Genomic DNA, 27987 nt, shown 5'->3' with positions numbered 1-27987 from the left:
TACTGTTGATGGTGTTCCATCCAATGGTTGGACTGAATATCTTTCTCAGTCTCCTCCTTGGTCAAACAGCATAGCCAATGATTGGAGAAGTTTCCTTTGAAGGCAGATCTTGGGAATTCCCATGGGCTAACTGGTCTGCTAGTGGGCTCAGTTCTTTCACTTGTGGTTAACTTGCTTGGTTTTGAAAACATATATTTCTGATTGAATGCCTGGCTGGTTAGCAAGTTTTTAATGAGATTTCTCAAAGCCACAGACATACCCCCTCATAATCATATCCTCACTCACATCTCCGTATTTTGTTAGATTTGTTTTCTCTTAGTTTATACCAAACTGAAAGCAGAACTGCAGGGTAGTGGGGAGCTCTGAGACATTTTTCCCCTGTCAGGAGTCAAAGCATTCAAATGTCCTGATTAGTGATATTTTTAAAAGCCCTAATTATAGACTCGAGACAGAGGCTTTAGTGGGGCTTTAGAGAGTTTGTGAGACTTAATCTAGGAGCTGGAACAGGCTGTGTTTTTAAAATTTTTTGCATCCATAAAAATACAGTTGGCAGTCATTGGTGGCCGCGGCTCACATAAATCTTGAACTTTTGACTTAATTACCATGGGAGAGTTCAAAGGGCAGGCTGGAGTGGTTGAAGGAACACTGCTCAGGGAGCTGGAGATGGGCCTGGCCTCAGCCCGGCCTCTGGCTGTGTGACCTTGATCAAATCACTTAACCTTTCTGGATGACATTGATATCATCAGTCGTTGGGCCAGATGGTCACCGAGGTCTCTTTTGGTACAGCCTGGTAATATGATTCCATGTTTCTCCTTTAAATCATTGGGCCGTGTTCTCTGTTTTTTGGTTCCAGAGAGAGAGAGAGAGAGAGAGAGAGAGAGAGAGAGAGTAGATTATAAACCTTAGGTGTCAGCATTGAGATGTGCAAGGGTTTTGGTGGGGGCAGGCCCAGCAGCCTATGGTTTCTCACTAAGTTTAAATTGCAGGGTCAAAAGAAATCACATAATCCTACCATTTGTTGACAGAATCAATACCTGTCTAGCACATAGATACCTGGAAAGTATGTTCGAACTGGCGGGGACCTTAATCAGTGCAACTACTTCATTTTATAGCTAAAGCTTTTAATAGTCATCCATCCGTCCATCCATCCGTCCGTCCATCCATCCATCCATCCATCCATCCAATAACGCTTGAGTGCCTACTCCATAGGCTAAAGACAACTCCAGCTGTACCCTCCAGGTGCCCTACTGTTGTTGGTCAGCATCAGAAGGAGTATTTTTCAGTACAGAGACACTAATGTTGGAAGCACACATCTATCACAAAGAAGGGGCCCTGAGAAAGAATAACTTGGCTCTAGGGTGGGAATAATAAAGGCTGTGTTGGAGTCCTTTGAAGGAAGTTTCTGTGGGTTTATAAATCTCTCTTTAACTCATTGCATCTTAAAAGACTTCTGTTGTCTTAAAGTAAAATTCTACTTAATATTATTACTAATGTGCAATGACTGTTACAGTGTAGAAAATGATAATGAGTAGGTATGCTATATGCTGGTGATGGGATTTAATTGATGGGATGGGATTGATTGATTGTGGCTAGGTCTGACTGTTCTTTAACCAGCTCATTCTTAGTATTTGATGATTAGGAGAACATCATTCTTGTGGTACCTATTACATCAGAAGGTCTAAGAATGTCAGAGCCAAAGGAACCATACCTCTCATCGAGGTTAATTTGTTTCCTTTACAGGTGGATTAGTGTCATTCATTTTGAATGCCATTGGAAGTTTATACCACACGTCTCTATTAGCTGACTTTAAGCCCGCTCTTCATACACCTCTAAGGTATATAAAGTTCAGGGAAACTCATGTGTCCTTAGCTTGCAGATTCATTTGATTGATTGATTGATTGATTGATTGATTGAGACAGAGTTTTGCTCTTGTCGCCCAGGCTGGAGTGCAATGGCATGATCTCGGCTCACTGCAACCTCTGCCTCCTGGGTTCAAGCAATTCTCCTGCCTCACCCTCCCTAGTAGCTGGGACTACAGCCATGCGTCACCATGTCCAGCTAATTTTTGCATTTTTAGTGGAGACGGGGTTTCACCATGTTGGTCAGGCTGGTCTCGGACTCCTGACCTCAGGTGATCCGCCCACCTCGGCCTCCCAAAGGCTGGGATTACAGGCGTGAGCCACCGCGCCTGGCCTGCAGATTCATTTTAGATAAGATTGTTGAGTAAACATCCCTGTTAAGCATCTACTATGGACAAGGCTGATCTCTGCTTCAGTAGATCTTTAATTTGGTACATGAGTTCCTTCTCCAAATGAGAGTTGTTAAAGCTGTTCACGAGCCTTGGTATAAAAGGGGCTTCCTTAGGTAGAGGAGCCCGTTCTAAGTGCCTGGATGGTGTTTGTCTCCAGCTGTTTTGCAGTTCTTGGGAGGCCCTGGCATTTCCATGTGTGTCCTTTCCAACTGCAAAAACATACAGAGGACACAAGGCTGCTGATGAAGGAAACACAGTAGGGCTATCTTATAGTATTATTATTTTTCTAGATCTTACAGATTCAAGGTTCACATAAAGCTAGTGTATTTTAGGAAGAGCTATTGTAAAATTATAAAAGAGTTCCAGCCGGGCGCGGTAGCTCACGCCTGTAATCCCAGCACTTTGGGAGGCTGAGGCAGGTGGATCATGAGGTCAGGAGATCCAGACCATCCTGGCTAAAACGGTGAAACCCTGGCTAAAACGGTGAAACCCTGTCTCTACTAAAAATACAAAAAAAAAAAAAAAAAAATTAGCCGGGCATGGTGGCGGGCACCTGTAGTCCCAGCTACTCGGGAGGCTGAGGCAGGAGAATGGCGTGAACCCGGGAGGCAGAGCTTGCAGTGAGCCAAGATCGCGCCACTGCACTCCAGCCTGGGCAACAGAGCAAGACGCTGTCTCAAAAAAAGGAAAAAAAAAAAAAAGACTTCCTCCCCTCCCGTATCAAGTTCATTAAACATATTTGTGAGCTTGATATTTAAAGAGAGGCTGTGTGCTGGTGTGATGTTAGCAGTCACCAGGGTGGGGCTGGTCACACATGGGAGCCTGGGTGGAGGGTTGTGCCTGGATTTTTTATGGTGGCCCCCAACCTTGGATCTCTGAGACCTAGATGAGCAGCACTGCACCCGTACCCTGCTGTATGGCTGTGTCTGTGTTTTGCAGAAGCAGATTTTATAGGTGTAGCTTTGATGATTGAAATATCACCCGAGGGAAGTGGCTACCTGCCAGAAATTCCAGCAACATTATTTCACCTTAGTCCTTAAATCACTCCCGAGGCACCAAGACAAAGGTGCGGGTTGCCCATGGGCTGTTGCCACAGGTCAGGCCTGCATAGGTGCGCGTGGTCTGGGCCGGTCCCTGGGCTGTTACAGACTCACCCATGGCTTGGCCCAGTGAGGGCAGAAAAGAACAACATTCCTAGTTCCTTCAGCTAAATCCCACTTTTTTTTTAGGGAACATAAAAATCATGCCTAATGGTATGTAAGCACATATCTGTTGATTTCTTTTATGTAAAAAAGAAAAGACATTCCACAGGATCAGCTCAGCAGTAATTGATGTTATCTGAAAGAGTTACTGCATTAATATTTAGCTAATTCATATGAATAGGCTATTGTGTTTACTTAAACAAATGACATGAGTGCAGACACCTGACAGCATGAGGTATGCTTTTCATTTAGGTTAGATTTGTAAACGTCTTTGTGTAGTGACAAAGCTCATTATTTGTTTTGTGCTCTCAATGGTTTCTTTTTAGTGGCTGTGGCTGTGGATGGATTTTTCTAAGTAGAAGCTTTTAAAATGAAAGTTTATTGAAATTGTTTCAGTATATGCCAGGCCCTGAGAGTCTTGGGATGAATGGGAATCAAGTACTCCCTGGTGAACCCTCAAAAGAATAGGTGCGTTTATGGGCATTCAACACCCAGAGCCAAATGTCTACCCAGGTTGCAAATGCAACTGGATTCAAAGGAAGGAATTCAGCCCCTGTTCCTTCTTTCTCCTCCTTCCTCTTCTTCTCTCCTGGCTTCGATAGTTTTGCCCCTCTTCCCACTGTTTCAGCATCATATGGGTGCACCTAAATCCCATCACTTTGACACTTAGATAAGCACAGGGATAAAGATACAGCATGGCCTTGTAAAGAAATCTCAGCTCTACCTTTGACAACAGGTTTCAAGAGCAAGCGTGAAGGCTAATTGGGGTAGGTGTTTGGATGCAGCGATTTCAATTCCTGATTGTACCCTGAGTCTGGCTGCTAAGTGAAGGGGATCCTTATCCCCCAGGGACGTGCTCTACACCCGTAGAATAGAGGAGACTTCTAAATATGCATCAGAGACAAAGCCCCTGCCTAGGGCCATTTTGCCTTGGGTTTGTGAACTGTGTGTGCTGTTGTTCAGTCTAGCCTTCATCAGAAATAAGCATAGTTATGAATTAGCCTTCTACAATGTTCAAGTCCCTGTTGGTGGCTGTTTCAGAGGAATACAGGGATTTTGGTTACTACTTTGCTAAGACAGAAACATATATGTGAATAGTTAAATTGCTGTACAGTAGAGGTTCTGGACAGGAAAAAAGGAGGACGTGTGCCTTGACCCAGGCTGGCTTTCCCGGACTTCAGCCTTAAACATCAGATTGGTGGAAGGTACGGATTCCAACCTCGTGGAGAAGCTGCATCTTCTTAGCAGTGGAGAGTAGGGTTGAAGATAGTGGGCTCTGGCATCAGACTGATGTGGTTCAAATCTTGGCTGCACCTCTTCCAAGCTTTGTGGCTTTTGGCAGGTTACTTAACTGCTCTGTGCCTCAGTTTCCCCACTTGGAAGCCAAGATTATGATAGTGCCTTTCTTGTTGAAGCATTGTGAAGATTAATGTGTTGACATGTAAAAACTCTTTGAGCAGTGCTTGGCAAAGTAGAAGCTTTCAGTCGGTAGTAGTCATTCGCCATTATTAGCAGACATGAAGAATTTACAGTGGTATTCTGGCTTGATGTTGTGGCTTTTATTTAGAAAAAATATACTTTACTTTGTGATTTAAAACTTTTTTCTTGACTTTAAAAAATCACTTGTATTTATGACTTTCGGGGACATCTGGAGGGCATAACTTTAACATATCATTTAATTGGTAGCCTCCTCTTAAGTTATCATTAGGTGGGGTGGTAGGGTTATGGCATTCATAACCACCATTGGAAAGAAATTTTTTTTTTAATTAAAAAAGTTAGTATGTATTTAGTGATACAGTTTTTTTTTTTGTTTGTTTGTTTGTATATAAGTTCTGAGAAATGTACGAATGACTCTCTGGGTTATTTTATTATATTAGAATGACAATTTATACTATTGATTGCCCTTAAAGTAAGGCTCCAATGGATAAGTTGATAGGGCTTTTGAGAACAACTTGCTTTTACTAGTGTGTATATGTGATCATTTAATAGGTGTGGCAATCCAAAATGATCTATTTTTGGAGGACTGAGCTGTCGCAGTTGTATATGTTGTTCATATGTTTATAAAATAGCATTTTAAAACATGATTTGGCATGAAATTATTTTCTGGCATCAAGAACAAGAGAGAGAAGGGGCCTCAAACACTTTTTTTTTTTTCTTCCTGTTGGTAGACATGAACCATCCCTCTCTGGGACCTTCTGCTCAGCCAGCTGGATTAGACTTCTGAAAATATTTTCCAAATGTAAATATTACCCAAAGATTTAAAAAATAGCCTAGCATTTACATGCAAAGCGAAATGATCTTACCTGTTTGGAGTTTACTCATGGAGGGGAAGCTGTCCATCAGTATACATTCTAATACTGTTTTCCAAAACAGGAGCACCATACTGGACCAACACAGAAAAGATGGAAAAGCGGCTCCATGCTGTGCCTGCGGCCAACACTGTCAAGTTTCGCTGCCCAGCCGGGGGGAACCCAATGCCAACCATGCGGTGGCTGAAAAACGGGAAGGAGTTTAAGCAGGAGCATCGCATTGGAGGCTACAAGGTAGAATTAAGCTTTCAGAACATCACATTTCTTACATTTTTGTTTATTTATTTATTTACATTTTTTTTTTGCGATGGAGTCTCGCTCTGTCGCCCAGGCTGGAGTGCCGTGGTGCGATCTCGGTTCACTGCAACCTCCATCTCCCAGGTTCAAGCGATTCTCCTGCCTCAGCCTCCCGAGTAGCTGGGACTACAGGTGTGTGCCACCATGCCTCGCTAATTTTTTGTATCTGTAGCAGAGACGGGGTTTCACCGTGTTGTCCAGGATGGTCTTGATCTCCTGACCTCGTGATCCGCCTGCCTCGGCCTCCCAAAGTGTTGGGATTACAGGTGTGAGCCACGATGCCCAGCCCTACATTTTTGTTTATTTTTTGAAGTGCTCAAAAGTTAGCAGGAATTAGAAGGAATACTTTAACAAGAATCAATAATTGTCACAATTGCCCATGTCAGGGTTTGATATTAAAAAAAAATATTACCCCGGACTTGCGTGTAATTTTAAAGTACAATTCCCGTTTGTGTTGTTCTTCATATGAGGAGAGTTTAATAACAGAAGGGTCGAAAGTTGAGAGTCTGTTTTCTATATGCTTTATAGTGTATAAAACTAAAACGGGTGTGGAGTTTGAGAAGCGTCAGTATAGTTTCCCTGTCAGAGCAGGATTGCATGAATAGTGAGGGGACTTGGATTAGAGACTGGAGTATGAAATATGATGCATTAAGGGAGAGTGCGTGGAGATGACAGTGGCAATCTGCTGTCCTCCTTGAAGGATTCTTGAGAGCACGTCACACAATGCCATGAAATTTTAGTCTCATCACTCCCTAGGGAGTTTGAAATTGGCAGCTGTCTCCCTGCAGATGCCCGCGCATGCTCCTCTAGCCTTTGTTCATCCACTTAGCAGACATTGATTGAGCACCCTGTGTGCCAGGCACACTCCTGGGCTCTGGGGAGATGAGAGGGTGAGGCATGGCCCCAGCTCCAAGGGGCTCTTAGTCCAGTCCAGCAGGAGAGGCAGAGGAGAACTCTGGCAATGGGAGGGACACAGGTTTGGTTGAAGTTGCAGGAGCATGTTGCATCCCATGGATGTACATGGAAAGGTGATATTGGATTGGCGTTTGGAAGAATAAGGAGAAAGGAGGTCAGGAAAGGATTCAGGTCTGAGTTGGAAGGAAAGATGTCTCAGAAAGAGAGAGATGGAATTTCCAAATTATTTAGTATGGAAGGAGAGAACTGTAATAATTGAGCATATGAAAAGGACTGAAGGAAACCTTATGATGAAATTCTCTGATGCATTTGGAACATAAGTGGGCATATTAGTTACCTGTTGCTGCATAATAAATTGCCCCAAGGTATGGTAGCTTTAAGCAACATTTATTACCTCATTGTTGCCTGGATCAGGAATGAAGGTGTGGCTTAGCTGGGTCTTCCATCTCCAGCTGTCTCACAGGACTGTAAGCAAGGAAGGGTTGAGGCTGAGGTCTCATTGGAAGGGTTAATTGGGGAAGGAACTGCTCATGTGGTTGCTGTTAGGATTCACTTCCTTGCAGAGGGCCTCAGTTCCTCACTGACTGTTGGCTGGGGGCTGCCCACTGTTCCATGCCACACGGGCCTCTTCATAGGGCAGCTGCTGTCATCAGGTTGAGCAAAGGAGGAGCCAGAGAGAGAGAGAGCAGGATCGCAGAAGTCAGAGCCTTTTGTAACCTAGTGTTGGAAGGGACAGCCACCACTTTTGCTTTTTTCCATTATTAAGCAAGACACTAGGGAGGAGGTTGCCCAAGGACCTGAATGCCAGGAGACAAGGGGATCACCGGAACCCATCTGGGAAAACTGCATGGTGGGAGGAATAGAAGACGCTCTTTAGCTCAGACCTCAGGTCCTTTACAGCCAGGTAGGGAGGATTCCTCAGTAGCAGCAGTGGGGTGTCCAGGACTGTGTCTCACGTGTCTTTAACACACCAGCATCACTTTAGCTCCATCATTGCTGTAGGTAAATGAGCCTCCTTTCCACCTAAAAATGCCCTGCAACCCTTTTCTGAAATTTCTTAGACAGTTATTCATCTTTAAAGGATTATTTTCTTCTGCAAAAGTTTTTGCCTTTTTGTTTTAACACTTAGAAATTAACATCTAGAGGCCAAAATTCAGAGGAAAATGGGGACAGCCTATGAGTAAGTTTCTAAGAACGCATGGTGGGCAGTGAACATGTGAAACAGTTATGAGGCAGATCTGCTAGCAGGTGGGTACTGTTGAAGCTTGAAAGTAGAAATACTTTGGTTGTTTTCCACAACTCCTACTTGGTGGTGGAAGCAGGAGGCAGGGGGTGATTTGTCCTTCTGTTCTTAGTTCAGTCCTTAGACCAGATACGATGAGATTCAAAGGTTGGCCCTTTTAAAAGAAATCTTTTTGAAAAAAAAAAGTTAAGGATTTCATGGGGGGATGCTGGTTAGAAAGGAAGAGTTAAGCCACTAAAATCACGGCCCCTGGGATTGTTTTTAACCACCAAATGCTTTCTGAAACTCACATAATTGATGCAGTTCCAATGATTTATTTAAATACAATCTGAGTGTGAGAATGGTGGTCAAAATCCTGGTGGTTAACTAATTTTGTCAATTAAGACAGCCTTGTAAATAAGTACAAAGAGGAGCTGATGAGGCTCCAGAGACCCCTGGGCTCAAAATAAATGGAACCGACATCATTATTATGGGGAAGGAGCTTTTTGCAAATCTGAATTAGTGATTACAAATATGCTAAGAGACTAAGAGGGCCTAATGAGAAAATGCTGCCTGATTTTTAACAGGTGCAGTTCAGTGTTAATTATTGATTCCAACATTTCGCTAGATGAAGAGCACCTATGTTCTAAAAGCAAAATGAGGACTCCCAGCAGAAAGCCTTTAGCCTGCCCCTGTGGAGTGCAGATGACCAAAGTGATTTTGTTGTATCACGCTGAGCCGTTTCTGGAGGGAAAAGGAAATGGAATTTCAGTGTGTGGGACAAAAACCTAAAATATATTTTGCTTTACCAAAAAAAAAAAAAAAAAAAAAAAAAAAAAAAAAAGGCCAAAAGCGGCAGAGGGCCACACATTTGGATGCAGTGTGCTGGCGTGGTCCTCTCCTTTCTGGTTCTCTGGTGGAGAAAGGCTATGGCTGTAGGGTGGGGCGGCCTGGGAGGTTGGCCCGCTAGTTGCAGAGGTGGTCAGCCTAGGTTGATCAAGGGCTTTTCACAACAGCAGTGGCATTGAACGTTCATTTTGGAGATGCCAGAAACTCTTAGAAATTCCACTGAGTCCCAAGGGCTTCCGGGACTTGAAAAGGAAAGACACATTTCTCATCTCCTGGGAAGGTTCCTTCAGTTACCTAAGGCATCATCTTCGCTAATGATGTGTTAAGCCAACCCCAGGTCCTGGAGTCACTGGAGCTCAAAGAGGCTCATTCCCACCTGTGGGCCTCCCCCATGGGGAGCTCCTTGGCTGGCTATGGCCTGCGTTTGCCTCAGAGAGTCCTTGTTGGGGCCTGACCAAGGCAGACTTTGGGGAGAATGGTCCCTGGTGTTGGGTTTTCTCTCTGATATTTTCTTCGTTACCTACGTAGACTTAAAGAAATGTGCCTCTGGGTTGGGCACAGTGGCACTGTAATCCCACTGCTTTGGGAGGCTGAGGCAGGAGGATCATATGAGGCCAGGAGCACAAGACCAACTTAGGCAACATAGTGAGACCCCCATTTCTGCAAAAAATTTAAACCATTAGCTGGGCGTAGTAGTGCTCACCTGTAGTCCCAGCTACTCAAGCAGCTGAGGTGGGAGGATCGCTTGAGCCCAGGAGTTTGGGGCTGCAGGGAGCTGTGATTATGCCTCTGCAGTCCAGCCTGGATGATAGAGGAAGACTCTGTCAAAAAAAAAAAAAAGAAAAAAAAGGTACCTTTGCACATTTGACTTCAGGGAACTATATTGTTATTTTCATTCCTCGGCACTTCCTCAAAAGCAAAGAGACCTAATTGAAACTCAGAGGGCCTGACATCTAACTGATTCATTCCTGACTCCTGTCCATTTGCCACTTTGCTTTATTTTATTTTTATTTTTTGAGACTGAGTTTTGCTCTTGTTGCCCAGGCTGGAGTGCAATGGCATGATCTCAGCACACTGTAACCTCTGCCTCCCGGGTTCAAGCGATTTTCCTGTCTCAGCCTCACAAGTAGCTGGGATTACAGGTGCCCGCCACCACACCCAGCTAACTTTGTATTTTTAGTGGAGATGGGGTTTCACCATGTTGGTCATGCTGGTCTCGAACTCCTGACCTCAAGTGGTCCACCCTCCTTGGCCTCTGCGAGTGCTGGGATTACAGGCATGAGCTACTGCACCCGTCCCATTTGCCAGTTTATTTAATGAAGAAGCAAAATGTCAAGTTTTCCAAGATACATTTTTCCAGAAAGCAAATACCTGAAAAACTTCTTCAAACAAATGTGTGTTATTTCTGCAATTTTTCTTTTTCCTTTATAATTCTGTTCATTCCATAAACTATGATTGTGCTTTGGTGGCCTGTCCATCTCATTCTTTCTACCCGTTTATGGATTGGGCACCTCGGCAGCCATCCCCTGCATTACAGCTTGTTTTGAAATGGCATGCATGTGCGGCCTATAAAGGGAGGAGGGAAGACAAAAAAAGCAAAACAAAGTCAAAGAGAATTATGAAATGTGACAGAAAGCTCATTTTCATTCAAATGACCAATAGAACTATTTGGAATTCGGCAGTTCAGTCTTGTTTATCAAAGAACCCATGCTGAGCCATCCTTAGGTGATTAAGAATCAAATTATTATTTTTAAAGTGCATGAGCAAAGTCTTGCTGGATGTTATTAATATGTGATTGATATAATAGTAAAGGACTTGAATCATAACTCTATCTCCCTAATCATACTTATTCCTGGGCTTTTGCGTCAGTCTTGACCATGGGCAAGTTTTTTCAGCTCTCTGTGCCCCAGAATCCCTTGCCTTAAAATGGGAAGATTGGCTGAATAATCCTGATCCCTTCAGGCTCTGAGAACCATAATTTAATAGTATCACCATCGTGTAGCATCAGCCATTTCTCTTCTTAAACAACAGCACAGATTTTTTTTTTTTTTTTTTAATAAAGAGGTTACCTTCATGGCTAGATATTTCACAGGGCTCAGGACAGTTATTGCAATTTAATGCAGAAAAGCAAGAAGCTGGCTGAGATAATTAATAGACCACCTCAATTCTCACCTCCTTCGTAGGTAATTATTTAGGCATAGGGGGTTCTTAAAAACCATCTTTTATGCCACTTCGAAGTGCCTGCATAGACCAAGAGAGATCGCAGGACAGAGGGCTCATTCAACGTGACTGTGAAATTGGCACAGAAGCCCTCAGCGTTGGGTATTACAGGGGTTCAGGTTCCCCTGGAGCCCCTCAGCAGAGAGTAAAGCATTATTGAGCATGAACCAAGTATATTTCAGATCTAAGAAAAGATGATTTTTAAAACTTTTGTTATAATCACTACTAAACTGGTTGTTTTGAAGCATAGGTTAATTAGATTTACATTTTCTAGGTTAGTTACTTAGATGTCATTTTAAAGACTTTTTGATGAAATGTTATGCTTAATCCACAAGTATGTTTAGGGGGAGAAATCATGACTAATGTACTTATCAGCATGTTTATACTTTATGGAGATTTTTTTTCAGTGAAGACATTTCAGCTTTAATCCCACATCAAGCAGTCTTTGATGAGGACACAGGTATATGTTTGTATTAGCCAACGTTTATGGACTGCTCCCCTGCGTCGTGACTTACCAGGTGCCTCCCATGGAGCAAGTTGCTCAGTCCTTCCACAGCCCAAAGAGGCAGACACTGTTATTTTGCCCTTTTACATTTGAGGGCTTGCCCTACCCCTACCTCATAGGTGGCACAGCTGCCATTTGGACCTACGTGGTTTTGCACCAGAATTTATGCTCTTGCTAAACTGCTTGCTTCAAATGTAGTTCCGTGTTTTGTAAAAACACTGTTGCTGTTGAATGAGAAACATAATGAAAGTAATGGCTCCCCAAAAGCATGCAAAGATCTAGCCCATGGTATACAGTTGAGAGCAAAGTTGGGGATATGATGCTGTTCTTTCAACTTCCAAGACCTCTGTGGGTTATTTATTTGTTTGTTTTTGAGACAGAGTCCCTCTATATTGCGCAGGCTGGAGTGCAGTGGTACGAACATGGCTCAGTGCAGTCTTGACCTCCTGGGTTCAAGTGATCCTCCTGCCTCAGCCTCCTGTGTAGCTAGGACCACAGGTGCATGGCACCACATTTGGCTAATTTTTAAATTTTTTGTAGAGACGGGGTCTCACTTGGTTGCCCAGACTGGCTTCGAACACGTAAGCTCAAGTGATCCTCCCACCTCAACCTCCCAAAGTATTGGAATTACAGGCTTGAGACACTGTGCCCAGCTGGTTATGAGGTTTTTACATTTATTGTGGTAATATATGCATAACATAAAATCTACCATTTAAGTCATTATCAAGTTTAGTAGGCATTAATTACATTCATGGTGTTGTGCAACCATCACCACTATTTTCAAAACTTTTTCATCTCTCCAAACAGAAACTTTGTACCCATTAAGTAGTAAGTACTCATTTCCCCTCCCCCACTGCACCTGGTAACCTCTAACCTACTTTTTGTGTCTATGAATTTGCCTATTCTGTGTACCTTATATAAGTGAAATCAGGATATTTTTCCTTTTGTGTCTGGCTTATTTCACTTAACAAAAGTCCATCCATATTGTAGCATGAATCAAAACTTTATTCCTTTTTATGGCTGAATTATATTCCATTGTATGGATATACCACTTTTTTTTTTTTTTTTTTTTAAGACGGAGTTTCACTCTGTTGCCCAGGCTGGAGTGCAGTGGTGCAACCTTGGCTCACTGCAACCTCCGCCTCCCAGGTTCGAGCGATTTTCCTGCCTCAGCCTCCTGAGTATGGGATTACAGGTGCTCACCACCATGCCCGGCTAATTTTTGTATTTTTAGTAGAGACAGGGTTTCACCATGTTGGTCAGGCTGGTCTCGATCTCCTGAACTTGCCATCCACCCACCTCAGCCTCCCAAAGTGCTGGGATTACAGGCATGAGCCACTGTGCCCGGCCCCACATTTTGTTTATCCATTCATCTGATGATGATCACTTGGGTTGCTTCTACCTTTTGGCTATTGTGAATAGCCATTGTAGCAATTGGTGTACAAGTATCTGTCCCAGTCCTTGCTATAAGTTTCTCTGGTATATACCTAGGAGTGGAATTGCAGGACCATATGGCATTTGTCTGTTTTGCAAAAGCAAAAATGGGGAAGATCGTGACATTTTTAAAGAGCTAAGTTCAACAGGCGGTGGATGTCCTGCCGCAGCCACCTTTGTGAGCACCGACAAGCAACGGGCCTCTAAGAAAACATGGCTTGTTGTAATTCACTTCCCACCTCCTCTGGAGAGATCCAGTGGTTGTTTACCGAGCAGAGGGAAGAGTTTCTGCCACTGGTCCCGAGGATCAGATTGCCCGGCCCTGTTCTCTGGACACCTCCTGAAAAGCAAACTTCTTGTATCAATGTTGGAGTTTAAGCATTAACAGGTGTTTGCCTCCACATCTGCATGGTGGTGAGCAACAGCAGGTACCTCTGTCCTTGACATGCAAGGTTAGTTGGCACAAATGCTTTCAGAAAGGATGGCTTCAAGTCCCCCAGGCACCTGCTGAAAGTGGGGGACTGGGATGGGAGAATAAGATTTTATGCATTTTTTGTTTTTTGTTTTGTTTTGAGACAGAGTCTCACTCTGTCACCCAGGCTGGAGTACAGTGGCATGATCTCAGCTCACTGCAGTCTCTGTCTCCCGGGTTCAAGCGATTCTCTTGCCTCAGCCTCCTGAGTAGCTGGGATTACAGGCACCTGCTACCATGCCTGACTAATTTTTATATTTTTAGTAGAGACAGAGTTTCACCATGTTGGCCAGGCTGGCCTCGAACTCCTGTCCTCAAATGATCTGCCCGCCTCGGCCTCCCAAAGTGCTGGGATTACAGGCGTGAGCCACTGCACCTGGCAGATTTTTTGCATTTTAATGGCAACTCACCTGTTGAATGAACTGATCTGTTCATGGGGTGGGTGCCTCTGTGAAGGCCAGGATTACAAGAGATTGCTGTCTTCCTGGGAAAATTGGGTGCTGATACTGGCGGGAGAAAGGCTTGGGAATATCTTTCTGATATCACATGGACACAGCGTTCTACCTGGCACAGAATAAAACTTTGTATCACCTTCTGCATGTTTATTCTGCTTGTTATCGAACACCTGAGTATTTGGAAATGTCTGGATTTTTTTGCAATGTGGAAGGTAAATATCCAGGTGACAGCCTGGGTCTTTAACCTTTCACCCTTCACCTTTCACTGCGGTGTTTTGGTGTCAACAAACTAAATCTACATTCCCAGTTGTCACCTGAGGGTAGCCTGGGATTTAATAGGCATTTTGGGGGAATGAAGGTAACAGAAGAATTCCGAAAAACCTGTCTGGGCCACCTTGTGTCTTTGTGTGGATAGGGTGTGGAATGTTCATGGAATCCGCTTCTTGTATTATACTTGGGAGTTTAGGCCATTTTGCTTCAGTCTGCTTTGTTTCAATATTGAAATGTTATTTTAAAAAAGTCTTTAGTGAACATAGTTTTGAAGTCCATGCTCTCCTGTTCTGTTACTTGGCAGATGAAAAATAATGATGAATTCCACAAAGATTTGGCCATGAGCAGGAAAGAAAAAGAGTCGTGCTTGTGTTGGTTGGTGCAGAATTTCTTCTCTCACTGGCTTTTGTGTTTGTTTTGCCAGATCCATTGGTTCTGCAGGGGGTAGCTACTATTGAATGATTATCTAAGGATCTGTTTTATTATACTTTTTTGTTGTGTGTGTTGAGATTTCTGTTTGTTTGAAAGGTAGAAATAAGAAAAAAGTAGGCAATACCCATAATCCCACTGCTTAATTATATAAAGTACATTGCTAACAATTTGGTATATTTTCTTTCTGATTTTAGCTGTGTTTATAGTCAGGCTTATACTTTCAGTTTTATATGCATCTTTAGGGTGGTAAATGTGTCTGCTTTTTTCTTTTTTTTAAATAAATTGGAATCATGAATTAACTGTTTTTCATTTATCAATAACTGTTTAATGATACCTTACCAGGTCTGAACATAATACTTCATTCTTTTTATGACTATAGACTACGCTGTTTGAATGAACTTTCCATCAGTTCATACAGGATGAACTATGCATTCTTAATGTCTCTCTCCTTGACAGTTTTTTGCTCTTACAAGCAGTGCTTGAAGCAGCAGTTTTGTTCATGTGCCTTGAAGTAATTGTGCTATTTTCTGTGGGCTAGCTTTCTAGAAGTAGAATTAACTAGATCAAAAAAAATGTGTGCTGCTAATTTTAATAGGTACCAGCAAGTTATTTTACACAAAGGTTTTTCTCAATTTATGTTCCCATTCTCAATTGGAATCTTTTATTTCCCTACACATTCACCAAGTACTGAATAACATTGATCCTTCTAATTTTTGTTAATCAGCTGGTGAATAACAGTGTCTCATTATTGTTTTAATTTGCATTTCCCGGATCGTTAATGAGGTTAAGCATCTTTTCATATGTTTATTGGGTATTTACATTCCCTCTTCTCTGAAAGCAAAGACGGTGTATGTGCATTTGGCCTAACTGGCAAAAGAATTGTAGCACTGAAAATCTGAGGAATTTAGAAACACGCGTTGTATATATTACGTCGGAAGAGTGGTTTCTTTAGGTTTATTCTGAATCTCCATATGGAAATAGAGTAATGAAAAAAAACCCCCAAACTTTGTGCTTTTGTTTGCCATCTTTATAAAGTTAACTATTGTAGTTTCTTAGCTTGCTATTAAGCAACCACTAATCAATGGTAGGATATCCCCTACAAAAGTGTCCAGCAGTCCCACTGTTGGTGGATTTAAGAGCATCCATTTGGAAAATGCTACAGCTCATAAAATTTGGGTCAATAAATCAAATACTGGAGCAATGGTGTAAGAAAATAAATATTAACAGCACTGCATGGGGCAATATTGATCTAGTACCAAGATTTCTGGATGGACAGAAACACCCTGTTTGGTAATTGTGCTTCTCATTGTAAAAACATTTTTATAAACGTTAACTTATTAATATTTGTAGTGCATCTCCAGGAAGTAAATATTCAGAGAGCACGTGCTCTTGAAGAGGGATCTTGTATGGAATGCCATGGCCCCAGTGAGAGACTTGAGCTGACCATATCCCCTGGGGTTAAAAAAAGGGAGCAGTGAGCCAAGCTGCATATGCCAAGATTTAATGTGTCAGCCGAGTCAGGCGATGTCCCCTCCCTGTGCAGTTCAGGTTCAGCTCCATTTGGAATACTCCATGTGCCAAATCTGGATCCAGGCACAAGAAAGACATTGACAGTTTGAATGGGGTCCAGAGACAGGCACTAGCCGTGATTAAGGGCTTATGGGCATGACATTTGAGCGGGGGCTCAAAGAACTGAATATTTACAGCAGGGATAAATGCTGGATTACATGGCTTGGTGACGTGGGGACCCGTGGCTACATCCCTAAGTTACCTGCCACATGACTGGTTCCCCGTAGGCAAAGAGAGAATCATTTCTGTTACCCTTGAGAGCTTGAGGTGAAGGGAGGGTCTCCTTTTGGGTCTGTGGACCTCAAGTAAAATCAAGGAGCTTATACCTATGTGTCCCATGCTCTTAGCATAACGATGCCGTTGTAGCACCCAGGGATCCAGGATTTAGGTAGGGAATTCTCATTGCGCTGGAAGATTTAGCATCCATATCTCCTCCTCCTTCAGAAGACACATTCTGCATGGAAGGTGCTTATCTCTCTTAAGGGGAGACGCGCTAGCATGTTGTCTGGGTCCTGTTACAAGTCTACGGCTCAACCAAGAGCAGAAAGCGAGTCTTTGTCATACAGTAAAGACTCTCCACTGTCGATCAGATGCCCGTAGATTCATTTTTCTGCCAGACATTTTACCTGCGACAGTGAGGATCAGTTTCCCATCACCAGCTCCAGGCTGTTAGACTCTGAAACTACCTTCGTAGTTGTCGATGACTGCAGCAGCCCAGCAAAGTGGCTGACCAGAACTATCTTAACTCACTGCTTGTACTCTGTTAAGGAGGAAGGAGGCCAACCTTCATCCAGTGATCCTTTCTAAGACTGTCAGTGATGAGCAGCGACCTCGTTTTAGAACTCAGCAGCAGTACCTCCACCCTGCAGTCATGGCTTGCATAGAACTGAGTGGCTGACATGAAAACCGTGGCACTCCAGTGTGCTCTTCGCATCTCTTAACTCTGTTGGCAGGCTAATCACTGGCGCTGCTTTGCAAAGTGGACAGCTGCTCTGCCCTCCTGTTTTTATAGTGGAGTGGTTACGAGATGATTTTCTTTATTCTCTAGTTTCTTATATCACTCATGTGCTTGCAGATGCTCTGCCTGTATTTGTTTTTTACGTGATTAACCCAAAAACACTTGCAATGCCCAGGGCATGGCTCAGAAGGTCAGTTGAAATTCCTGAAATGATAGCTAAGGTTAGTAGGCCTTGACTGTTTATTTTTTCATTTCGTTTCACTGGAGTGCCTTGTCCAAAACACCTGTAGAGAATGACTTGGATTCAGATAGAAATACTAAAGCCTCAAACCCTGAAGATACAAGATGTTGCATTTTGTGGTAAGGAAAACTCTCGCAAGTTTGAAAATTTGAGTCTATGGAAATATTTGAAAAGCAGGGGGAGAACATAAGAATGGCGTCTCTTTGTGTATTGATGGTACCTTGGGTAGGAGTCACAACAGCTGATTTTCACATGTGCTGCTTATCTTTGAAAAGTCTCAAGAAGTTTGTGAACGGACGGATATACAACTTGAGTTTTGTAAGGATTCATTGCCGCCATATTTGGAATTCTGGGTATTTCTCTGAGGAACATGTATATCTATTCAGCCACAACCAGAGATGGGAAGGGCAGACTGATGTTCCCAGCTGAAACTTCTTGAGACATCCAGACAACATCTGAGAACTATGAGCCCCTTAGGAGAAATGAATTAGCTACGGCAGCACAGAGGGCTTGGAGCAGTGCCTGGCATATAGTAAATGCTCACTATAAATGTTAGTTCTACATGGTTCTGTGATGCCATAGAGGCTGAGGCTTCCTAGTGGATGGGCAAACTGGTAGCTCGCCTGCCCGTGGCCATTGGTACCAGGCTGGCTGGTGTTCAGGCTCCCTGGCCAGTTGGCCTCTCCTAGAGGAGCCCTCAAATCCATTATGGTAACAGACCCACGCTGTACACTGCCGAATACTCCTGCAGATCTGAATATGTCAATATTTGCTTCACAGGTGTTCACCATGATGATGATGATGGTTTTCATTTCTCACGATTCTTAATGACAGTTATCAATTTAGAATTTAGGTGATTCTTCCATACCTTTCTTGCCTCCTTCAGCTTCTTTTTAAATCAAGAAAGCACAGTACTTGGTATTCTGTGCTAGGATTGTTAAATAACCGCCTTTGCTTTGATCTTTTCAGGTACGAAACCAGCACTGGAGCCTCATTATGGAAAGTGTGGTCCCATCTGACAAGGGAAATTATACCTGTGTAGTGGAGAATGAATACGGGTCCATCAATCACACGTACCACCTGGATGTTGTGGGTGAGTTTGCCTCTCCTCGTGTGGCGGCTGCATACCAGCCCATTCTTGCTTGACTCGTTTGAAAGCATGAACGTTAAGTCCTGTTTCTCCCATAAGTTTCAGGAGAATTGGTTCATTCTTATTCTTTCTACTATCATTTTACAAGGCTGCTTCTGTCATCTGACAATATTCTGTTTTCCAGGCAGCCAGGGTTTATGAGCTTTGCATGATCCTCATGGTTCCCAAGCGTCATCTGTGTAAAGTGGACGTGGTATGAAATGTCTGACATTTTGGAAGCTGAGATTACTCTGAAAATGTTAATTGGGCAGGTGAAAAGGGTACAGATGTGCTGTAGCAGACCTTTGGTTTTAAAAGAGAAGCATCATTTCCCCAACAGGGCAACTGTAGAAGGCCAGCTGAAGAGTAAAGGAAAAGGTCTGAGGACTGAGCCTGTGGCTGGCTGGAAAAAGGTGAATGTTGAGGGCCCTTCACTTCCATCACAAGAAAGTCATTAGACGGTACCAATTCAGTGTCTGTTCCTGGCATCTATTTCCTCTGTGCAAAGGGAACCATGTATATGAGCTTATAAATACATTTTTGTCAGAGTGCACAGATAAGTAGGCCATTTTAATTAAACATTGAAGACCACCTCGCCTGTTGTCTTGGAAATTCAAGTTTCTTCCCAGGTTTTGCCTGTGATGATGGGGCTTTGTTGTAACTAATGAAGAAAGGAGGTTTCTGTGTCTTGGAGGATTGCTAACATATGGAACTCTACCCAAGACATACTTCATTGTTGCAGGATGGCAGGTTAAGATCCCTTCCATGTAGGGGCCATCTTTTCTCTTTCCTGTCATGTGCCTTGACTTTCAACCTGCCACCTTGAGCCTTCTTTTGGTTTGTCCTCCCCTAAATACAGGTTGCTATCTTCTGCTGTAGACTCAACTCAGTTCACACTCACGTTTTGCCGTAATGTGACTGTTGGTAATTCCACAAGCCCACACCACCCACTGTGCCTCTGTAAACGAAGTGTCTCCTACATCATAGCCTGTGCGTGTGTGCCTAGTATCATCTCATGTGTGGGTCTCCTTCAATAAAACATCTTTGAAGAGGGAGACCCCGTTACATATTGGAATTGCCCAAAAAGCCACTAAAAAAATAATCCAAAAGCTTGATTAACCAAATTGCAAAGATTTGGTTAATTAAAATTTTAGGTTAACTGAAAAGTAAACAAAACTATTTTGATTTTCTGTCAAGTTAAATGGAATTGGATCTACGAGACACTCTGCCTTAGAAAGCATGATATAACCATTACTTCCATTTGCATATAAGCATTCAGGGAAAATAGTGTTTATTCGAAGATTTGAGTTTTGTTCTTCAGAAGCCTTCATGTGAAATTTGATAGGTCCTTGAATAATGTTGATCCTATAGATATTCATAAAAGAGTGAGTTTTAGAGCTCTTTCCCCATAGAGAAAACATGTGGCATGTTTCTTAGTGAGAATTACCATGTTCAGATATTTTACAAAACAAACAAAAAGAGAAGTAACACTCAAATTTGAGAAGAAAATGATTAACATTTGTGTTGGCATTGATACACTGTAAATCCATTGATCAAAGAGCATATGACTTGGCCTTTACCTGGGTTCCTGTGTGTACCGAATGTGACGTAAAACTATTTCTATTTAGGGAAAGAGAGATTTTGGGCTAAATGTTCTAAATACCTAATTTTGAAATTAAGTAATTTATTGTGGGAAAAAATAATTGAGCTATAGCAGTCTTTTGGGATTATAGCTTTGCATAGGTCTACACATCATTCATTAGGCTGGGCTGGGGCCATTCTAGGCATCGTGGAGTCAGATGGCGGCCACTCCGGTCTGGGCTCTTGCTTAAAGCAAGTTTTAGGTTGAGTTGTTATGTAAAACATTCAAAAGCCCCTCACCCCACCTCCCCTTTGAGCTTTCTGGCGGCTCATCCCTGTGAAGCCCTGAAATCTCTCTTAGAGTTTAGGGTTGGGATTTGAATTGGGCTGCTGAATAATGGAATTGTGCTGTCTAATGTTAATCCCCTGGCAATCAGTCTTGTTGAAAAGAGCGTATGATTCAGTGGTGTAATGTAGAGAGAGCGTGGAGTGTATGGAGTAATGCAGAGAGAGGCCTGATTATGTCACAAATTTGGGAGATCGCCCAGCTAAACACGGGCCAATAATGACACAATGCTGGTTGGGAATATCCATTAAAGCTCAACTCCAATAATTTTCCAAGCCTTGAACCTTCTTTATAAATAGAAGCCAAAAGTCAGTGGAGTAAAAGGCATTTTCAGTAAAGATGGAAGTGTGAAATACTCTCATCTCTGCTCAAAACCCTAGTAATTGCTTTGCGAAGCACTAATAAAATAAGAATTGAGTCAGCTAAAGAGGCTCATATAGACGTACAGGGTTGGCAGTCATTCTGAACATCTCAGCAAGTGGAAACAAAAAGGATTCAAGCTTAAGCAGTGAATTTCTGGTAGCCCACAGGCCCAAATGTGATACACTGCTGTGTGATAACAGCTTTTCAGCCACCTCTCTGTTTCACAGAAAATCAGAAACCCTTTCCCAGTGAAAGCGAAGTCCCATTCTTGCCCACATTCTTTGGGGTTTTATTTTTGTTTCTATGATACATAGATTGTGGTTCAGATATTATGAAGCATCAAGATGGGTGAGATCTTTTTATTGAAATTCTTCCTTGGAAAGGCATTCCCATAAGCACTTTAATGTAAAAGCCGTGTAATTTAAGTGACATTCTTGTGTTCTAGAATTAAACGGCAAGCCATTGTTGTGTGTAAGGGAAATGCTTTCATTTATGGGAGCCCTTTTAGGAGCCTGGCTTGATCCTCATTAAAATTGACACCATTACTTTTCAGCTATTTACTGCAAGGGAAAATTAGTGTGATGCTCCACGTTTTGGTAATTGTGGCGATAATAAAATGGGCTCCCCTAAAGTAGCTGTGGCTCCGGGAGGTGGCGAGCCTTCACCATCGTTCATCATTGAGTGGTACCAGAGCCCTGGATTCTGACTGAGGTCCTGTCACTGTGAAGCTACAATGCTGGGATGACTCATTGCACTTTCCTTGTGTCCAAAAATGAAGGAACTGGAACTCATGAATGTTAGAACAAAAAAAGCGGCTTATGCCGTGGAATGAACAGCAGGTTTGTCCGTGGCCATACCTGGGGCCCCTAGTGAATTGGGACAAATTATTTAGCTTTTCTGAGGCTCTGTTTTATCATCAGTAAAATCGGAATGATGATACTTACCTCATTCCTATGATGGTTGTATTAGGTTTCCTAGGGTACCCCTAACAAATTACTATAAACTAATTGGCTTAAAACAAAAGAAATCTATTCTCTTACAGTTCTGGAGCCTAAAAATTCAAAATTAAGGTGTTGGCAAGTTCCACGCCCCTCTCCCAGCTTCTGGTAGCTGTCCTTGGCTTGTAGAGGCACCGCTCCAATCTCTGCCTCCATCTTCATGTAGTCATGTTCTCACTGTGTGTCTCAAAATCTCCTTCTGTCTTCCTCTTGTGAGGACACCTGTCACTGGATTTAGGGCCCACCGTAAATCCAGGATGAGCTAACCTTGATATTTTTAACTTAAGTACTTTTGCAAAGACCTTTTTCTTCAAATAAGGTCACATTCCTAGTTTCCAAGGCTTAGGACGTGGACGTACCTTCTCAAAGGTCACCCTTCAGCTCACTACATTAGTTACGAGGCATCAGTTGGGTTAGCAGATGAAAACATCAGGCTGGCAGGTAGGTGGCCAGCAACAAATGCTGGTTTCCTCCCTTCCAAACCAGGATTCTTTTGAGGGTTAGAATGGATCTTTAATAGCTTTTATTAGTCTCAATCAGAAGTCTTATTAAACAAACAGAATGCCATTTTGGGGCTGGGCATGGTGGCTCACACCTGTAACCTAGCACTTGGGGAGGCCGAGGCGGGCAGATCACCTAAGGTCAGCAGTTAGAGACCAGCCTGGTCAACATGGTGAAACCTCGTTTCTACTAAAAATACAAAAATTAGCCGGGTGTGGTGGTGGGCGCCTGCAATCCCAGCTACTCGGGAAGCTGAGGTAGGAGAATTGCTTTAACCTGGGAGGTGGAGGTGGTAGTGAGCCAAGATCATGCCATTGCACTCCAGCCTGGGCAGCAAGAGTGAAACTCCATCTCAAAAAAGAAAAAAGAAAGCCGGGCGCGGTGGCTCACACCTGTAATCCCAGCAGTTTGGGAGGCCGAGGCAGGCAGATCATGAGGTCAGGAGTTCAAGACCAGCCTGACCAACATGGTGAAACCCCGTCTCTACCAAAAATACAAAAATTACCCAGGGGTGGTGGCAGGTACCTGTAATCCCAGCTACTCAGGAGGCTGAGGCAGGAGAATCGCTTGAACGCAGGAGGCAGAGGTTGCAGTGAGCTGAGATTGTGCCATTGCACTCCAGCCTGGGCGACAAAGTGAGACTCCGTCTCAAAAAAAAAAAAAAAAAAAAAAAAAGCCATTTTGGGACCTACAGACGTGGCCAGAGGCTGACATTGACATTTCCTGCTGAGGTTTCCACCTTTGATTAATGCTGTCATCAAGGCCATCCTGAGACTGATTTGGCTGTTGGACTTGCAGGAGAGGGGTGTGGAGTTTGAGGACTTGAAGTTCATGGAGTTGGCTTCTTTACGCCCACCCCTCCCCTCCCCCACTTTGCAGTGGAGGAAGTTCAGGTTCAGCTGGGGTAAGTGATTTGCTAAGTAAGGGCTTGGAGCAGGCATTCTGGAGCTGGGGCCTCCATCTGGGTGTTCTCCACGCCTATCTGTATGAATGCTCCTTGCTCTCCAAGCGGACTTCTTCATTTGATGTTCACTGTGGTGTGTTTCAGTAGTGACTGCCACAGCCCGACTCTAAGGAGGTGCTGCTGTCACCCCACCCTGCTTTCAGTTCTTTGCTGCAGAAGACAGAATGTGCGGGAGAAAGATGGGACCTTAAAAGACTAGTTGCTCTTCCTCACTCATGTAGACGATTTGGCTTTGAATCGTGAATTATTGCTTCTTTTGGGCATTCCAGTTCTGCATTTCCAGAGACCCTCAGGTATGTCAAGCTTTTTGCCTGGCATTTGATATTTTGGGGGCAAAGTACAGTGGAAGTGGAAATGGTGCCTCTGGTTTTGTCAAGGCCAGATATGTCTTCTCTCCACTCCTTGTGTTTTTTGAGACAGAGTCTTGCTTTGTTGCCCAGGCTGGAGTACAGTGGCATGATCTTGGCTCATTGAAACCTCTGCCTCCCAGGTTCAAGTGATTCTCCTGCCTCTGTCTCCTGAATAGTTGGGATTATAGGCATGTGCCACCATGCCCAGCTAGTTTTTGTAGTTTTTAGTAGAGATGGGGTTTCACCATGTTGGCCAGGCTGGTCTCGAACACCTGGCCTGGAGTGATCCGCCCGCCTCGGCCTCCCAAAGTGCCAAGATTACAGGCATGAGCCACCGTGCCCGGTCTTTTATCAGTTTAACTTTCCAGAAATTTGTTCCCCCTGCCTGTCCGCATCCCTTCAAATGAAAGCTGTAAGCAGCAGGCAGTTGTTGTTTGGGGGCCCATCAGAGGCCGCATGTCACTTCTGGATGGGTCAGGCATCACTACCAGCCCTGACTTGATGGCGGCAGATCAGCATGGCACTGTCAACTAGCCCTTGACATAAATCTGTTGTAACTCAGCCCCAGACATGATAGGACACAGCCTGAAAGCGCACAGGAATCCGTACCAGAGCGAAGTCCCCCCTCAGGTGTGTGTTCAAGAATGAAGCGTCTTTTATTCCAAGCACTGACTGATAAGCTCGAATGTGGAGTTGACACCTGGAAGGGAGTTTTGGGAGCTTTTGGCAGCCCATCCCCAGTGGAAGAAGGAGGAATGGCTGAAATTGTTGACTGCTTGGGGCAGCCTCTGTCCCAGGAAGACAAAGGCTCCAGTGTGATAGCTGAGCTGGGGCCAGGGGACGGAGGCACGGCGGAGTCCCTCAAACCACAGCTGGAGTGTGAAGTTTGGACTGTCTCCTGGGTTGGGAACAAAGTAGTGGTTAAGTAAATGAAGAAGCGGTGGCCTAGTTAATTAATTAACCTGTTAATTCATTACTGAAGCTGTCAAGATTCAGTCATTCCTGCTCACTTGCTCGTGATGGAAGGCTGCATCTCAGTCTCGGCTTCCATCACACTGTGGCTTCTGGATGGAATTTTTGTTTCTGTGTGTGATAAGGAGTGGCTGTGGTGGCATCATTTAAATGACATGATTCTGCACGTCCAGAGACGTTAGGATATTGAAAGCCTGACCATTACCTTTTAGGTTGTCATGCTTGTACCTGTTCCTGGCACAAGGTCTCGGCTCCGTAGAGCCCTGTGGGGTTCTGAACTTGAAGCCTCTTGACTTAGAGGCTTCCTGGCCAGGGCTCATTTGATTTTCCATACTCCTGACTTTGCTGCCAGTGAATTCTTTTCCATTTCTTGCTCTGAGTGTAAGACTTGGTGTCCTACCCTGACACGGGCTCTGCATGCCAGCTCTAGAGTTGCGAAATCTCACCGGAGGGGGGCAGAAAGCCCCTCTGTTGAGAAGGGATTGGGGTGGCGTGCCAGGTAATGGGTCACAGCGACAGCCTTTCTAAGTGGGCTTATTTAGTTGACAGATCACGGAACCGGAGCGGAGTTGAGGAGGAAGCACCTTCCTTTTGCCGCTTTCGTGTCCCCAGCAGCCATCTCATCCTGTTCTTATAAACCATCGCTGTCACAGACAACCCCTAAGGGTCTCTACTCTGTGCCAGATGCCCTCTCTGGAGGTTCAGGTGGAAATTACGTGGAGAGGGGTGTCAAGTTCTGTTTCCACCCTTGCTAACTCTATGGCCTTAGAAAAGGCATGGAACCTCTGAGCCTCAGTTTCCTTGCCTGTAAAATGGGGTGATGACTGTTTCCTTGTAGCACTATGGGGAGGAGGAGGTGGTAGGAGAGGCAGCGCTTTTAAATAATAGTACCATGCAACTGTTAGTCGTTATTGTGCGTTGGTCCCATACTTCCTCTTGCATCTCCAGACAGAGCCGTGCACCCTGAGCCCATCCTGATGAAAGGAGGGGTCAGTCCTGTCCTTTCCTCCAGGATAGAGATTTCAAAACTTCCTTTGGTAGCTACTGTTTAATGAGCTTTTGATTGCTACAAAGCAGCTTTTCATTCCTGTTTCACAACAGGGATCCCGGGGGGCAAAGGCTGGTTAGTGGCAGCTAGATCACTCCAAACGTACTGACTGGCAAATACAGACTCTCCCGCAGAACTGACCCCAGCAAGAAGCCTTTGGGAGCAGGTGGTATTCTGCGGGTGCCAGCTCCCTGGGGTGGGAGCAGGCACACGCCAGCCTGGATGGGGCATGGTAGAACTCTGCGATGTCAGCTTTTTTGTCACATTCTCTGCAGGCTACCCGTTGTCCTTTGCCCCACCATTGAGGAAGGAAGCCTTATTGATTGCTTTCGATTCTTGCAGGGGGCCTGGGTGAGGTGGCTGGAGAGAGGGCTAATATTTGGTCTGGCATTTAATCTTGGCATTTCATTTATGGTGTGGGCAAAGAGGATGTAGAAGTGTTAAAATCAAGTTAATATCTTACAGTTTTATGTAAGAAGAGGTTACCTGGAGATTCAGGTGAGGATGGGGCAGAGAGAAAGCTGCTTCTGTCAGAGCTTGGGCAAATAAACTTGCCATGAAATGTCAATTTAGTGATGGCAGTAAGAGTGTGCAGTAATGTGCTGGAACTTAGCGAGGTTTCTATCAGCGTGTGCTGAATTGAAATAATCAAAAAACAGTTTAATAAGTTGCTTATATTTGGAGTTTTGTGGTTCTTAACATTGCAAATTCTGAAGCAAGAAATTAGAGTTTCTCTCTAAACTCATTTACTCATGTGGCTTTATCAACGGCTGCCTTTGTAAACCGAAAGACCTCAGTTGGGAAGTTTTATGAGACGGAGTCTTGTTCTGTTGCACAGGCTGGAGGGCAGTGGCATGATCTTGGCCCACTGCAACCTCCGTCTCCTGGGTTCAAGTGATTCTCCTGCCTCAGCCTCCTGGTAGCTGGGATTATAGGCGGACATCATCATGCCTGGCTAATTTTTGTATTTTTAGTAGAGATGGAGTTTCACTATGTTGCCCAGGCTAGCCTTGAACTCCTGACCTCAGATGATCTGCCCGCGCAGGCCTCCCGAAGTGCTGGGATTACAGGCATGAGCCACCGCACCTGGCCTGCCAACTCTTGTTAAGATGTGAGTGTGGAATGCTGTGTGTTCTTCCCCTTTTAAAAGATGTGTCTGTTGGTTTGCTTTCACGGATTCCCTCTCCCTTAGGAGACCCGGCTGTTGTATTCATGGTCTTCATGCTTGGTTTGTTTTCACAGTCAGAGAAGGTAGGATGCTGTAGGGTTCTACCTACAGGTAGGATGTGCTCCTTACTTAGAGATTTGGAAGGGTGGCATCAGAGAACCACTGTGCGTCTTTCATGATAGCTGGTCAAATGTGGGTGTCTGTGGGAAATAGATGGCCAAGGGTGTCGGTGTTGCTGTGGGGAGGTTGTTCTGTTTCCTCTTCTGAGAAGAGACAGATGAGGCGATGAGGCAATGGGAGCCTCATTGCTTTGGCTTGGAGGGAGAAAATAGAGCAGAGCTCTCTAGCTGGGATTTTGTGTATTTGCTGAGTTGCAGTGGTTAATTCTCTATCCTTGAAGCACGTGGCACGCTCACGCAGCCTTTATGTGGTCGAGAGGGTGACAGTCACTTGAATGAGGTATAAGGCTTTGCCCTCATGGAGTTCCTCAGGTCACATTTTGAGGTCGAAGACCATAAATTGGGATGGAAATTTCTAGATCTTGATGGAACTCCAACTTTTTCTCTCTTTCTCAAAGCCTCTGGATTACAGGATTCTCTCAAACAAGGCTGGCAGGAATTCTGTCCATCCCAAATAAGTATGCAAATCTACAGGTCAAATGGTGCCCCAGACATATTCCCCACTGGATCAGGGAGATTGTGGTCTTTTGAGAGACAAACATTGAATATTATTCTAGTAGGATCTTTTGGAAATTATGCTCTATTAGAAAAAGGAACTTTTCATTTTACTGGTTCAGTGTACACTCTGGACTGAAACTGAAAGGTAAAGGACTTAGCCCTTTAAATTTTACATTTTGGCCGGGTGTGCTGGCTCACGCCTGAAATCCCAGTACTTTGAGAGGCTGAGGCAGGTGGATCATTTGAGATCAGGAGTTTGAGACCAGCCTGGCCAACATGGTAAAAACCC

General features: G+C 44.0%; 1 protein-coding gene across 23 annotated transcripts in view, besides 1 other annotated feature; it reads left to right on the top strand.

Annotated features, from left to right (window-relative positions):
* The window catches only part of FGFR2 (fibroblast growth factor receptor 2), a 120129-nt gene that overhangs the window by 41173 nt on the left and 50969 nt on the right, over positions 1 to 27987 (top strand). For 22 of the 23 annotated variants that reach the window (NR_073009.2, XM_024447891.2, XM_024447890.2 and 19 more), the window contains 2 exons: positions 5827 to 5996; positions 18571 to 18694. Coding sequence is in view for 21 of the 23 variants with exons in the window: in XM_024447891.2 (XP_024303659.1) it covers positions 5827 to 5996; positions 18571 to 18694 (294 nt within the window). In the remaining 2 variants the exon portion in view is untranslated. Of the gene's footprint in view, positions 1 to 5826; positions 5997 to 18570; positions 18695 to 25971; positions 26020 to 26827; positions 26965 to 27987 lie in introns of those variants that run through there. The other variant, NM_001320654.2, reaches the window with a different exon arrangement.
* Positions 13492 to 13991: an enhancer, noted in NCBI's record as "H3K4me1 hESC enhancer chr10:123302809-123303308 (GRCh37/hg19 assembly coordinates)". NCBI's record gives its function as "activates a minimal SCP1, AML or CMV promoter by ChIP-STARR-seq in naive H9 embryonic stem cells {active_cell/tissue: H9 hESC(naive)}" and the evidence as "EXISTENCE:reporter gene assay evidence [ECO:0000049][PMID:30033119]".

This window comes from Homo sapiens, chromosome 10, assembly GCF_000001405.40.
Source record: "Homo sapiens chromosome 10, GRCh38.p14 Primary Assembly".
Classification (NCBI taxonomy): domain Eukaryota; kingdom Metazoa; phylum Chordata; class Mammalia; order Primates; family Hominidae; genus Homo; species Homo sapiens.
This window is presented reverse-complemented; position numbering and strand designations above follow the sequence as displayed.